This window comes from Homo sapiens, chromosome 13, assembly GCF_000001405.40.
Source record: "Homo sapiens chromosome 13, GRCh38.p14 Primary Assembly".
Taxonomy (NCBI): Eukaryota; Metazoa; Chordata; class Mammalia; order Primates; family Hominidae; genus Homo; species Homo sapiens.
This window is the reverse complement of record NC_000013.11, coordinates 47,661,283-47,675,569: the sequence shown is the minus strand read 5'-3', so window position 1 is coordinate 47,675,569 and position 14,287 is coordinate 47,661,283.

Below are 14,287 nucleotides of genomic sequence, written 5' to 3'. Positions count from 1 at the left end.
TGGTTGCAGAGAAGTGATATGGCCACAATTTCAAGTTGAAGTTCGTGGTTGGGAGGAAACATCTCTCTGAAGGTGTGGTAAAGCAGCCAGAGATGGATGGAAGTGCACAGAGAGGGCACAGTACTCAGTTTCCTGAGGTTAGGAACATCTGCTAAAATGAAGTTGCGTCTGTGCTTAGTCTTAAAGGAGAATTAGTTTGCCGCCCTATGAGGTGGGGGATGGGGAAGGTGAGGTTTCTGTTAAGAGTTAATGGTGTGTGCAAAGGTGAACTGTGTGGGAGACAGGTGAATGGCCATGAGCTAGGCAGGAGTCAGATCACAATACAAAATTGCCTCCTATTTTATTTCCTTTTTCTATTAATTAGCTTGTATTCTATTATCAGAATAGTTCTTTTAAGTTTTTTAAATTATACAGAAAAATACAAGGTGAAAGGTAAGTTTTTCACACTCCAGTCTAACTCCCTAGAGGGATCAAAAAGCATTAAGACATTTCCATGTTTTCTTACAGATAATTTTTTTTGCATACCTGCCTGCACATTCATATATTCCATATTTTGCAAGTAAAGTTTCAACCTAGATTATGTACTCTATGTAAAATGCAAAATTTTAAAAATATAATGCCATTTAATTTCCATCTGACTTCTAATTATTGCATGGTATTCTACATTAGGAATCATCATAATTTAGTAACCAAACCAAATGAGGAATATTTATGTTGTTTGGTATTACAACAGTATAGAAGTTGGAATGGACAGATTCTTAAGAGTGGAATAGATAAATTCAAGGAAAGTAAGTAGCTTTAATTTTGACGTCCATTTCCATGTTATCTTCCAAAAGCTGAACCTTTTTATGCTCACATCCATAAATGTATGAGAGCACTGGATACTAAATTTTATTCAACTTGACAAATCTGAATGTTATTACACTTAATATTTCATAAGACTGGAAAATAGACTTTTAATAGTTGTCTGATAGGTGAACTCCTACTCATTTTTATTTATCCCATCTCTCCCTACCAAATAATTTATTTAGGCATCGATAACTTCCACTTCTCATTTATGAATTGCAAACCCCAGTTAGAATAAAAACAAAGAAAATCTTTTTTTTTTTTTTTTTTAAGATGGAGTCTTGCTCTGTAGCCCAGGCTGGAGTTCAGTGGCATGATCTCAGCTCACTGCAAGCTCTGCCTCCCGGGTTCATGCCATTCTCTTGCCTCAGCCTCCCGAGTAGCTGGGACTACAGGCACCCACCACCACGCCCAACTAATTTTTTGTATTTTTAGTAGAGATGGGGTTTCACTGTGTTACCCAGGATGGTCTTGATCTCCTGACCTTGTGATCCACCTGCCTTGGCCTCCCTAAGTGCTGGGATTACAGGCGTGAGACACCACGCACGGCCAAGAAAATCTTATAAGTACTAATTAAACACTTGTTATTTGACCATTTTAGTTTTATTCCCTATATTCACTTCCTTCAGGATATTTCTACAGCTTCTGAAATGTGTTTTTTTTCCCCCATCTTAAATACGTGAGTATTTTAAATTAGCTTACATATTAATTTTTCCCTTAGCTCATCTTTGCTGCTTTCTCTGGCATTTAACATAATTATTATTTCCTAGTTTTTCAAGGGTAATCTGGAAGTGCAATTTCTGCATATGTTGTAGTTAGGAGGGCAGAAAATGAACAAGTGAAAAAGAAACCAATATGATTTCAGGTGGAGATAAGTGCTATAAAAATAAAACAAGGACAGGGTTTGAGTTTATGTGCCTTGGGGGATGTGGGTGATAAAGCTGGTGCTCAGATATGTAGTGGATGCAAGACCTCCTCGAGGAGGCAACATTTGAGCAGATTCTGAATGATAAGGAATGAGATACATGAAGATAGGAGGGGTTGAGGGGTGAACCAAGTAGAAGTATGTGCAGAGGTGTGGGAAGGAGCTTGGGACATTTGAGATCAGCAGGAAGACAGCTTGGCAGGACTCTAGTGAGCAAGGAGAGGAAGGCAAGGGCAGGGCCACTAAGGGCCTGGCACCCACTGTAAGGAGTTTGGATGTGTCTGGATTGAAGGGATACCATGGGAAGGTGTTAAGCTGCAGAGTGACATGTGACATGTTTTTAACAGGTCCTTCTGGTGACATGTGCTACCCTGGCTGCTTCCTCCTCTTTCCATCCCACTCAGCCTCAGGAGACTTCTCCCTGCATAAATATAGCCCCCCGTTATACCACTTGACATTGTGAAGTTACCAAAGGTGAGGATTAAACTGCAACGATGGCTTTGCATGTGGTCTTTTATCTCTCCTCCAAGTCGTTCAATTTATTACATCAGATGTAGTTTAATTATGCCAAGTCATTGAGTAATAGCTGAAGTATTCTGGATAGATCTGTTAAGAGTAGACGTCATTTGAAAACCACCACAGTTATTTTAGACCATGTCCAAGTACAGAACTGGATTGCTTAACATTAACTGCTGCTTTGACTCTTCAGAGATGCCTGAAATGTTCCATTCCCATGAAACTTTAAAAGGAAAGCAATTTCAAACAAATCTTCCCTTTTTGCCTCTTTCCAATTTTTTTTTTACTATTTTTTTCCTTGTTTAAAAACATTGCCAATAAAAGTCAACTTGTGTGTGAATTATAATTAGAGATACAGTGTCTGAGGTTGCCAAATTATGTTCTTCACAGATCCATTAACATTTCCCCAGTTGTCTGTTGGCTGATATAGATCCAGTACCAGGAGGTCTTTTGGCTACTTCTCCATTTAGTCTCTGCACATAGGCTGATAATTGTGGGCTAATGCTGTAATAAATGCATCCCAGATGTTTTTCTCAGTCTCATGAAGCTTGTACTCTGTTCTCTTCTGTACTTATATCTTTGTCAACTTGCATAATGCATAAATATCTAATCTCTCACAAACAGTGCCCCTCCCCTTGCTGTAAACTCTGGATTAAAAAATATCCTTGCTGACTGCATTGAGTTTAGTTCAGGAATTTTGATTAACAGCAAAAATCAAGTCTGGAAGACTTGGTTATTTTGAACTAAAATCTGAGAATATACAACAGAATAGCCCAATCACACAGTGCAAATACAGGAAGAGTTCAGGATTGAGAGCGAAAGGGAGGTGGCAAAGGAAATGAAAGAGCAGTGCTCAGGCTTTAACTCTGCTGTCTTTTGCTATGTCTTACACGTTACTTTCTACACAACGACAATTAAGTGGACCTGCAGTTTCAAGGTGATGCCAGCTATGCCTTTCACCTTGTTTTTACTCTAGAAGTTTGGAATCTGAGCTGACACTTTCTAAATCTCAAATGACAAACTCTTCAGCATCATGGGTGGAAATTTTTTTAGCAGTCTTTTACAGCCATAGCCTTTACCAGTGATCTACTGGTGACATATTGTTCACATATTGTTTTTTAAAGGATGCCCACCCTTAACCACCATCCCATTTAAAATTGCAACACTACAGCCACCACTCCATGCCATGTTCTTCTTTTGTTTTTCTTAGCACTTGTCACACTCAAAGCTACTATGTTACTTATTTGTGAATCTTAAGACTGCAGGGACATTTGTTTTGTTCACTCACATATGCCGAGCACTTACTTAGAATAGTGCCTGGCACGTAATGAATGAATGATGTCTCATGACAAGAATAGAACATGACCATCAGCTCTCAAGTTTATTTCTTATTTTGGGCAGCCAATTAATTCAGCTCTTCAAGCAGTCTTCACTTGTGAACATTTTCATGATGTAATATATCGACATCTATCATAAGTTTTAACATGAATTCCTTACCAATCATGTACATTTTCGTCTTACTCTTGGCTACCAAACCCCATAAAATTAGCTCTTTGCGTGGTAGTCAAACTGATCTAATATAGTCTGATCCTCATAATTATGTGATACCTTGATGTCTTTTCATTGTGCACCACTTTCTATTTTATTTTCATGTGACCATCTCCTCCTCCTCTGGATTTAGCATAGCACTAGGCACTTTGTAGATACCAATTAAGTATATGGTGATTAACTGTAAAGTGCTGTAGGAATTTTCCATCTTACAATAACTATTTTCAAAACATAGGTTGTTAATAGTTCTATTATTGACAGCTATAGCACCTCAGAGTCTATTCTCATGAAATAGAAATTGCACTTGCCTGCTGCAAATGTTGCCTCCAGACTGTTTTCTCTGTCTCTAGTCCTTTCTGCCTCTGCATTATCCTCTACAACTCCATCCAGTTCCCTCCTTAAAGCCCAGATCTGACCATCTCATGCTAACCTCAGAAACGTTCCATCATCCCCAGTGTCTATATAACTAAGCAGAAATTCTTCAGCAACTTACTCAAAGCTCTCTTTAAAGGCCTCGGATTACCTTCATAGATTTTTTGCTGATCATTTTCATATTCCCAGAAAACTAGGAGAATTATGCTTCCTGTTCTGTACTCTGGGCATTTCTGGTTCTACAACTTGGCTCATGCTGATTCTCTGACCAATTCTTTTCCTCTTTCAAACTTAGCCCCAAGGCAACCTTCTTTATGAAACTTTTTCTAATTCCCCCAGTTGGATGTGCTTCTCCTTTCTCTAAACTACCACGACATTTTGTACTTCTAATATACACCTTATTATTATTTTTTTTATTATACTTTAAGTTTTAGGGTACATGTGCAAAATGTGCAGGTGAGCTACATATGTATACATGTGCCACGTTGGTGTGCTGCACACATTAACTCATCATTTAGCATTAGGTATATCTCCTAATGCTATCCCTCCCCTCTCCCCCCACCCCACAACAGGCCCCAGTGTGTGATGTTCCCCTTCCTGTGTCCATGTGTTCTCGTTGTTCAATTCCCACCTATGAGTGAGAACATGTGGTGTTTGGTTTTTTGTCCTTGTGATAGTTTGCTGAGAATGATGGTTTCCAGCTTCATCCATGTCCCTACAAAGGACATGAACTCATCCTTTTTTATGGCTGCATAGTATTCCATGGTGTATATCTGCCACATTTTCTTAATCCAGTCTATAATTGTTGGACATTTGGGTTGGTTCCAAGTCTTTGCTATTGTGAATAGTGCCGCAATAAACATACGTGTGCATGTGTCTTTATAGCAGCATGATTTATAATCCTTTGGGTATATACCCAGTAATGGGATGGCTGGGTCAAACAGTATTTCTAGTTCTAGATCCCTGAGGAATCACCACACTGTCTTCCACAGTGGTTGAACTAGTTTACAGTCCCACCAACAGTGTAAAAGTGTTCCTATTTCTCCACATCCTCTCCAGCACCTGTTATTTCCTGACTTTTTAGTGATTGCCATTCTAACTGGTGTGAGATGGTATCTCATTGTGGTTTTGATTTGCATTTCTCTGATGGCCAGTGATGATGAGCATTTTTTCATGTGTCTTTTGGCGGCATAAATGTCTTCTTTTGAGAACTGTCTGCTCATATCCTTCGCCCACTTTTGGATGGGGTTGTTTTTTTCTTGTAAATTTGTTTGAGTTCATTGTAGATTCTGGATATTAGCCCTTTGTCAGATGAGTAGATTGCAAAAATTTTCTCCCATTCTGTAGGTTGCCTGTTCACTCTGATGGTAGTTTCTTTTGCTGTGCAAAAGCTCTTTAGTTTAATTAGATCCCATTTGTCAATTTTGGCTTTTGTTGCCATTGCTTTTGGTGTTTTAGACATGAAGTCCTTGCCCATGCCTATGTCCTGAATGGTATTGCCTAGGTTTTCTTCTAGGGTTTTTATGGTTTTAGGTCTAACATTTAAGTCTTTAATCTATCTTGAATTGATTTTTGTATAAGGTGTAAGGAAGGGATCCAGTTTCAGCTTTCTACATATGGCTAGCCAGTTTTCCCAGCACCATTTATTAAATAGGGAATCCTTTCCCCATTGCTTGTTTTTTTCAGGTTTGTCAAAGATCAGATAGTTGTAGATATGTGGTGTTATTTCTGAGGGCTCTGTTCTGTTCCATTGCTTTATATCTCTGTTTTGGTACCAGTACCATGCTGTTTTGGTTACTGTAGCCTTGTAGTATAGTTTGAAGTCAGGTAGTGTGATGCCTCCAGCTTTGTTCTTTTGGCTTAGGATTGACATGGCAATGTGGGCTCTTTTTTGGTTCCATATGAACTTTAAAGTAGTTTTTTCCAATTCTGTGAAGAAAGGCATTGGTAGCTTGATGGGGATGGCATTGAATCTATAAATTACCTTGGGCAGTATGGCCATTTTCACGATATTGATTCTTCCTACCCATAAGCATGGAATGTTCTTCCATTTGTTTGTATCCTCTTTTATGTCATTGAGCAGTGGTTTGTAGTTCTCCTTGAAGAGGTCCTTCACATCCCTTGTAAGTTGTATTCCTAGGTATTTTATTCTCTTTGAAGCAATTGTGAATGGGAGTTCACTCATGATTTGGCTCTCTGTTTGTCTGTTATTGGTGTATAAGAATGCTTGTGATTTTTGTACATTGATTTTGTATCCTGAGACTTTGCTGAAGTTGCCTATCAGCTTAAGGAGATTTTGGGCTGAGACAATGGAGCTTTCTAGATATACAATCATGTCATCTGCAAACAGGGATAATTTGACTTCCTCTTTTCCTAATTGAATACCCTTTATTTCCTTCTCCTGCCTGATTGCCCTGGCCAGAATTTCCAACACTATGTTGAATAGGAGTGGTGAGAGAGGGCATCCCTGTCTTGTGCCAGTTTTCAAAGGGAATACTTCATTTTTGCCCATTCGTTATGATATTGGCTGTGAGTTTATCATAGATAGCTCTTATTATTTTGAGATACATCCCATCAATACCTAATTTATTGAGAGTTTTTAGCATGAAGTGGTGTTGAATTTTATCAAAGGCCTTTTCTGCATCTATTGAGATAATTATGTGGTTTTTGTCTTTGGTTCTGTTTATATGCTGGATTACTTTTATTGATTTGTGTATGTTGAACCAGCCTTGCATCCCAGGGATGAAGCCCACTTGATCATGGTGGATAAGCTTTTTGATGTGTTGCTGGATTTGGTTTGCCAGTATTTTACTGAGGATTTTTGCATCAACGTTCATCAGGGATATTGGTCTAAAATTCTCTTTTTTTGTTGTGTCTCTGCCTGGCTTTAGTATCAGGATGATGCTGGCCTCATAAAATGAGTTAGGGAGAATTCCCTCTTTTTCTATTGATTGGAATAGTTTCAGAAGGAATGGTACCAGCTCCTCCTTGTACCTCTGGTAGAATTCGGCTGTGAATCCATCTGGTCCTGGACTTTTTTTGGTTGGTAAGCTATTAATTATTGCCTTAATTTCAGAGCCTGTTATTGGTCTATTCAGAGATTCAACTTCTTCCTGGTTTAGTCTTGGGAGGAGGGTGTATGTGTTGAGGAATTTATCCGTTTCTTCTAGATTTTCTAGTTTATTTGCGTAGAAGTGTTTATAGTATTCTCTGATGGTGGTTTGTATTTCTGTGGGATCGGTGGTGATCTTTACTTATATTTGGTGTATAAACTTGCATTGTTTCCATCTTCTATTGGAAGCCACCTGTGGGCAGGGATTGATGATAGTGATCACATGCACAGTGGCTAGCGTATGATGTTACACTGCCACACTAATGTGAAAGAAGAGCCTTATCCTGAATAATCAAATATTTTTCATCCTTGTATTTGGCCTTATCTCAAAGTTTAAGTAAGTTCAGCTTCCCTGGTTATCATATCAGAGTTAGAGGGATTACTTCATGAGATTGCCTCCTAGAATATCTAACTTTCATTTAGCATAAAAATCAAAATTAATGTATATGAAAGCACTTTGAAAATTAAAAATAGTTATGCAAATGTAAACTATTTTTATTTTATAGATCTAGCACACTGCCTGAAATGTAGCTGACACTTCATAAATCTCTGTTGCACTGCATGGAATGGAAAATTAATTGAATATTTGAGATACATGATGATAAGTTGACTGTCACTATTGGGTCCTTCCTCTGTGCCCTTCTATTGACATGAGGCAGCTTCTTCTGGAATCCCTATCCAGGGTTGGGAGTTTTGACAGGGTGTGTTTGGATGCTCTCCGGTGCCACTCTGCATCTGTGGGCAGAGGCCATCTCTGCCTAAACACTCTCCATTCCCAGTTCTCCTCCACCTCTACTATTGCTGATCTGCCAAAAATCTTCTGAATGGAAAGTTGATATTTTGTTATTAGAATGATTGGTTTGGATACTTTGTCATTTAATTGTAGGTTACAAGGAGTGCAATTATGCATGAAAACAATTGAAAGGGCAATAAAAGCATCAGTCTCAATTGGCTACATTCCACTATATAGTCATTCATTTATTCCACAAATGTGTATTTGATCACCTAATATGTCAAGGCTTTCTAATAGGTGCTGAAATAAAAGGTGAAAAAGTGTAATTCCGGCTGTGAAAGACTGACAATGCCACTGTCAAGACAGACACATTAAAGTGTTTTATTACAATTCCACAGGGTAAGAGCTTGATATAGGTGTGAACAAAGTACCATGGCCACGTTTTGCCTGGGGTTGTCTAGGGATACCCACAGAGATGGGTGACATTTGAATTGGGTGCTGAAGGTGGTAACAGGAAGAGATAGAGGGGAATGATATTCCTGGCAATGAGACTTGAATGTGTAGGATCAAGATTTGTGAAAGGGCAATGTGCTTAGGAATGGTGAGATACTACATGTGACTAGAGTCCCTGGTGTGGAGGTAATTACATGTCTGAAAAGACTTTTATGTCAGTTTACGGAAGGTGGTTTTATGTTGCAGCCCAGGGGTGGAACAGATTCATGCTCCAATCTATTTCCACCTCTGGTTAATGTATAGAGGTTGTACTGAAGTGGGAAGGCTAGGATCGGTTGAAACCACATTGGAGACTATTTGTAATATTCTAGCTCTGAAATGATGAGGTTCCCACTAAAGCCAAGGCCATGGGCATGGAGATGCTGGCCTGGGCTGGAGGGGGACATTTCTAAGGATGAATAGCAGGATGTGATGACTGGTTAGATATGGAAGATGAGGTGGGCTGTAAGGAAGAGGGAAGACAGGCTCTTTGGCTAACAGGGTTAGTAGGCTCCATTAACTGAAACTTGTAGAATTGGAATGAGAGCAGAAATGTGTTTTTATGCATATATTAAGTCTGGAGTGCTTTAGAGATACTGAGTAGAGCTGGAATTCAGGTAAGGAGCAATGGAAGAGGGCAATAATGAGATCATCAAGGCAGGTAAATATAGGGAGAAGATGACCAAAGATGGAACTCTGAGCTTATCCAACAGTTATGGAGTTAACAGAAACAACCACCACTACAACAAGAAAAAGTGGGATCAGAGAGGCAGGAGGGCAGCCAGGTGCTCTGGCAGGTAAAGGGGTGGAGAGCATTAGGGAGGGGCAGGTGGCCAGCAGTGTTGTTGCTGCCATGAGATCCAGGAGGGTGAAGAGTTCATTGAGGCCTTTGAGTCTGGACATAAGGAGGTCTATGGTGTTCTTAGGACCTTCACCTTTACAGTGTGAAGGCAGATGATAAAGCAGACTAGAAGACAATGACCAACTGCAGCTTGTACTTAGGAGACAATTGACAGTAAAAAAAACAAACCAGAAGACAAAATGAGAACAAGGGGAAAAGAGCTATATTTTCATGGAAATTGAGGGAACTAATATAATTATTGTAACTTTTCTTGTAATGAAATTTAAGTTTATAGGCTGATGGATAGGAAGGAAGAAAGGAAGAAGGGAACAGTGAGATATGAAAATAGAGAGGGCTGAAAAAAATGGAATGTGGTTCTGAATAGCATGGAAAAGGATGGACCAGTCTCTTTAGCAAAAGGACAAGGCCAGGTATGTTTAGAAGGTAAAACAGAAGAAAATAAAAAGATGGGTTGATAGGATGTATGGCAAGTTTTTTGCACGGTAGAAGGAAAAATGAAAAGGAGTGAGTTGGCAAGAACATAGAGGGATTGATATGATAAATGAGAATTTGAAGTGATTTGATGGGGAATGAGAAAGAGGGTTAAGTGACCCTCTAAGGACTAATGAAAGTTCTGCTAAGGTATGAAGGGGACCCAACTGAGCTGGCAAGGTGAGTCATTATACATTTATGTTGCTAAAGAATGAGGAATAATAATCATTTACTATGTGCTAAGCAATATACTAAGCATTTTACAATAATAATTTTATAATAACATTTTACTAAATATAACTCCCTATGTGGCATATGTCATTTCCATTTTACATGCGAGGTAACTGAGGCTCAATGATTTATTCATGCAGCTAATGAGTGGCAGAGTCAGAATGAGCCACCAGCTGTTTCTGGCTGCACATCTGGGGCGTTTTATATTCATACTATCCTGTCTCCATGGGAGCTGAGCTTGCAGGCTGGAGGCATACTTTAGCTCAAATGCAGAGCTAAGCCAGAGAGCAAGTCCCATCGCTTTTGGATTTTAGCTTCCCTGTGTGTAAAACTGACAGGAGGTGTTGGGATTGGGAGGAATGGGAGGTGTCCTAGGTGGTTTCCAAGATCCTACCTAACTCAAACATTCTGTGATTCTAATCCTACAGCAAATATGCCCAAACAGAGCTTTTACTTGGAATTACAAAACAAGATACAACAGCCTATGCAGGGTGCCTCTGACGCGTTGCCTTTGTATAGGACAATCTCATTGCTATTGTTTTCAATTCAGACTGAGAATCTAGGCCTGACACAAATATTTTTTTTCTCAGCCACATTTTACCTTTCACCATGCTTGGGAGGAGACAGGGCTATTACATTTTCTTCTTTTCTGCAAACTCCCTATTCTTTGTCCCTGCTTTTTGGCACTTTTGTGATCATGGTAGCTAGAGTATAAAAGTTTTCTTGACCTTTTACAGACTGCAATCTCATCTCAATCAGAGTTGTCAAGTGGATTTCTGAAAGCCAGTATTTAGCCTGATTGGGGAATGGAGCCCTACCTGCCTGGAGACACCTCCTTGCTGAATACTTCCCAATTCTAGTACATTTGCTGCTTGGATACACGCTTTTGAATCACACGGTCTGCTCACTCTGACCTCAGCACCTCTTACTTCTATGAAGTTGGAACCAATTCTCGGAAAGAAACACTCTCCAGTAAGTTTAGGGATTTTCATTACTGCAGTTGTTTTCTCTTGGATCAGAAATGCACTTTTTATTGTGAAGGACTGCATGATTTTTCATCTTTAAATGGATGTATAATTAGTTTTGTTTAAAGGTTGAGTCTTAGAAAGCAGTCTTATGCTAGTATTTATGTAGAAATAAGCTATAGGGTCAGAAAATCTAGGAGTAAATTAAAAACGCATTTTTGATTATGTTACATTCAAATCATCCAGGAGATTAGTATCTGTTTTATTAGTCAAGGTATACAAACGGTTATCTTTCTTGATGTATGAACTATGATTTTATCAGCAATATTTATACTGTTGTGGAGCTAGCCCATCAAAGATAAATCTCCACAAGTACTCCCAGAAATTAGAGCTCATCCGTGCACAAATCCATTGCTTATGGGGAAGGATGTGCCTAAAGTTTTAGGTCTCCAGGCATGGGGCATTTGGCCTTCTATCATTAAGAGAACCTGAGAATTTCCTAAGTTTTATTTATAATGAAACTCTACCAGTTTGCCTTCCATTTAGCAATTACGTTACCTGTCTCTAGTTATTCCTTATTGATAGGCAAAGAACAACTTTTAGCAAAGAACACAGATATTCAATTTGCACACATTTCCCAAATGCCTGTTTTCTGTGGGTACTGTGCACCACAGGGAATTTTAAAATTAATAAACTGGAGTCACAGTGTGGCAGGGACAGGTACAGACATAAATAGCTTAAATACAAGGTAATTCTCCTTTTTGTATTTTTTCAGAAATTATTTTATGATTTCTTTAAAAAAATAGATTTAGGGGATATAAGTGCAGTTTTGTTACATGGATATATTGCTTATTGGTGAAGTCTGGGCTTTTGTTAGAGACATCACCTGAACAGTGTACTTGTACCCATTAAGTAATTTCTCATCCCTAACCCCCTTCCTGCACTTCCTAGACTCCAATGTCTATTATTCTACTCTCTATGTGTGTGTGTACATATTATTTAGCTCTCACTTATAAATGAGAACATATGGTACTTGGCTTTCTGTTTAAGTTATTTCACTTAAGATAATGGCCTCCAGTTTCATTCATGTTGCTTCAAAAGACATGATTTCATTCTGCTTTATGATGAAACATTAAACATTATTCCATGGTGTATATATACCACATCTTTCTCTCTCTCTTTTTTTTTTTTTTTTTTTTTTTTGAGACGTAGTCTCACTCTGTCACCCAGACAGGAATGCAGTGGCATAATCTTGGCTCACTGCAACCTCCGCCTCCTGGGTTCAAGCAATTCTCATGCCTCAGCCTCCCGAGTAGCTGGGACTACAGGCATGCACCACCACGCCTGGCTACTTTTTTGTATTTTCAGTAGAGACAGGGTTTCACCATGTTGGCCAGGCTGGTCTCCAATTCCCGACCTCAGGTGATCTACCCACCTCAGCCTTCCAAAGTGCTAGGATTACAGGCATGAGCCACTGCACTCAGCCTACCGCATCTTCTTTATCCAGTATTTCATTGATAGATGCTTAGATTGATTCCATATCTTTGTTATTATAATTTGTTCTTTGATAAACATACAAGTGCAGGTATCTTTTTAATATAATGACGTATTAGGGTTCTCTAGAAGGATAGAATTAATGGAATATATATGGAGAGATAATATATAATGGAATGTATGTATGTGTGTATGTATGTATGTAGGCAGGCAGGCTGGGAAGCTAGGCTGGTCTCTCTTTCCACATTTTTCTGCCTGCTTATATTCTAGCTGCACTGGCAGCTGATTAGATTGTGCCCACCCATATTAAGGGTGGGTCTGCCTTTCCCAGCCCACTGACTCAAATGTTAATCTCCTTTGACAACACCCTCACAGACACACCCAGGATCAATACTTTGTATCCTTCAATCCAATCAAGCTGACCATACTAACCATCATAAATGATTTCATTTCTTTGGGTAGATACCCAGCAGTGGGACTGCTGGATCAAATGGTAGTTCTATTTTTAATTCTTTGAGAAATCTGAATATTGTTTTCCATAGAGGTTATATTTACATTCCCATCAATGGTGTATAAGCATTCCCTTTTCTCTGCATCCTCACCCATATCTGTTGTTTTTTTTGTCCTTTTAGTAATAGCCATTCTGACTGATATAAGTTAGTATCTCATTGTGGTTTTAATTTACATTTCTCAGATGATTAGTGATGTTGAACATTTTTTCATGTTGGTCATTTGTGTTCTTTTGAAAAATGTGGGTTCATGTCCTTTGTCCACTTTGTAATGAGGTTTAAATTATAAGGTAACACTAATAAGTTTTGTAATTAGGATGTTGAGAAAATACTGGAGCTTAAGAGATTAATGCTTCTAAAACACAAAAGACTTTCTCCCCTCTTGTTTTCTCCCAGAAATTTTCTTAGACTAACATTCTTGGTGTCTCTCCCCACCATGTGAGCAGGAGTAATGTATTAGTCTAGTGGCTTTGGAAAAGGAGCTCAGCTCAGGCCTGCTTTCTTCAATGTTTTAAAGTTAGTGGTAGAAACCCTCAGAAGCAAAGGCTGTATCAGTCCATGTCTCCCTGGGCTTGAGTGGGAAGCTTAGATCTGGGCTTCATCTTAGGCCTCTTGGACTGTAACACATAAACCTTTCTTTTCAACAATGATAGTAAATTAATGAGAATAAAAGGGATTTGTTAGTCTCTGGCTGATTTCTCTGAAACTTCTACTGTATCCTAAATTCAGGTTTTGGGGGAAGGAGCAGTTTTTAAATAACCCCCCAAAACCCCAAAGAGGACATTCCAGGAAGAAGAAACTATGTTGTTAGAGATGAGAGTGAGGGGTATAAAATGCATAGAAACACTTTCATCTGGAAACAAGCATTTTAATTGTAGGGAATATGCTAAGTTACTTCTCATTTTATTGATCCATTACTTGGAAAATTCTATACTATGTTGTCAGCATTTTGCTGATACCATATTTTATAATGAACAATTCAAAAATTCAGTCTCTTATGACAACAAATATTCATTACTTGTAAGTCTGAGAGTTGGCCAAGGCTCTGCTGGGTTTCACCATGCTTGCCATGTCTTCTCACTCTGGGATCTTCTCTGGGATGAGTTACTGTCATGGTGGATGGCAGGAATGCAAATGGAACAAACCAAAACTTGTAATACCTCTCACAGACGTTGCTCACATCTGGCATACTGTCATCTCCACGCACATTC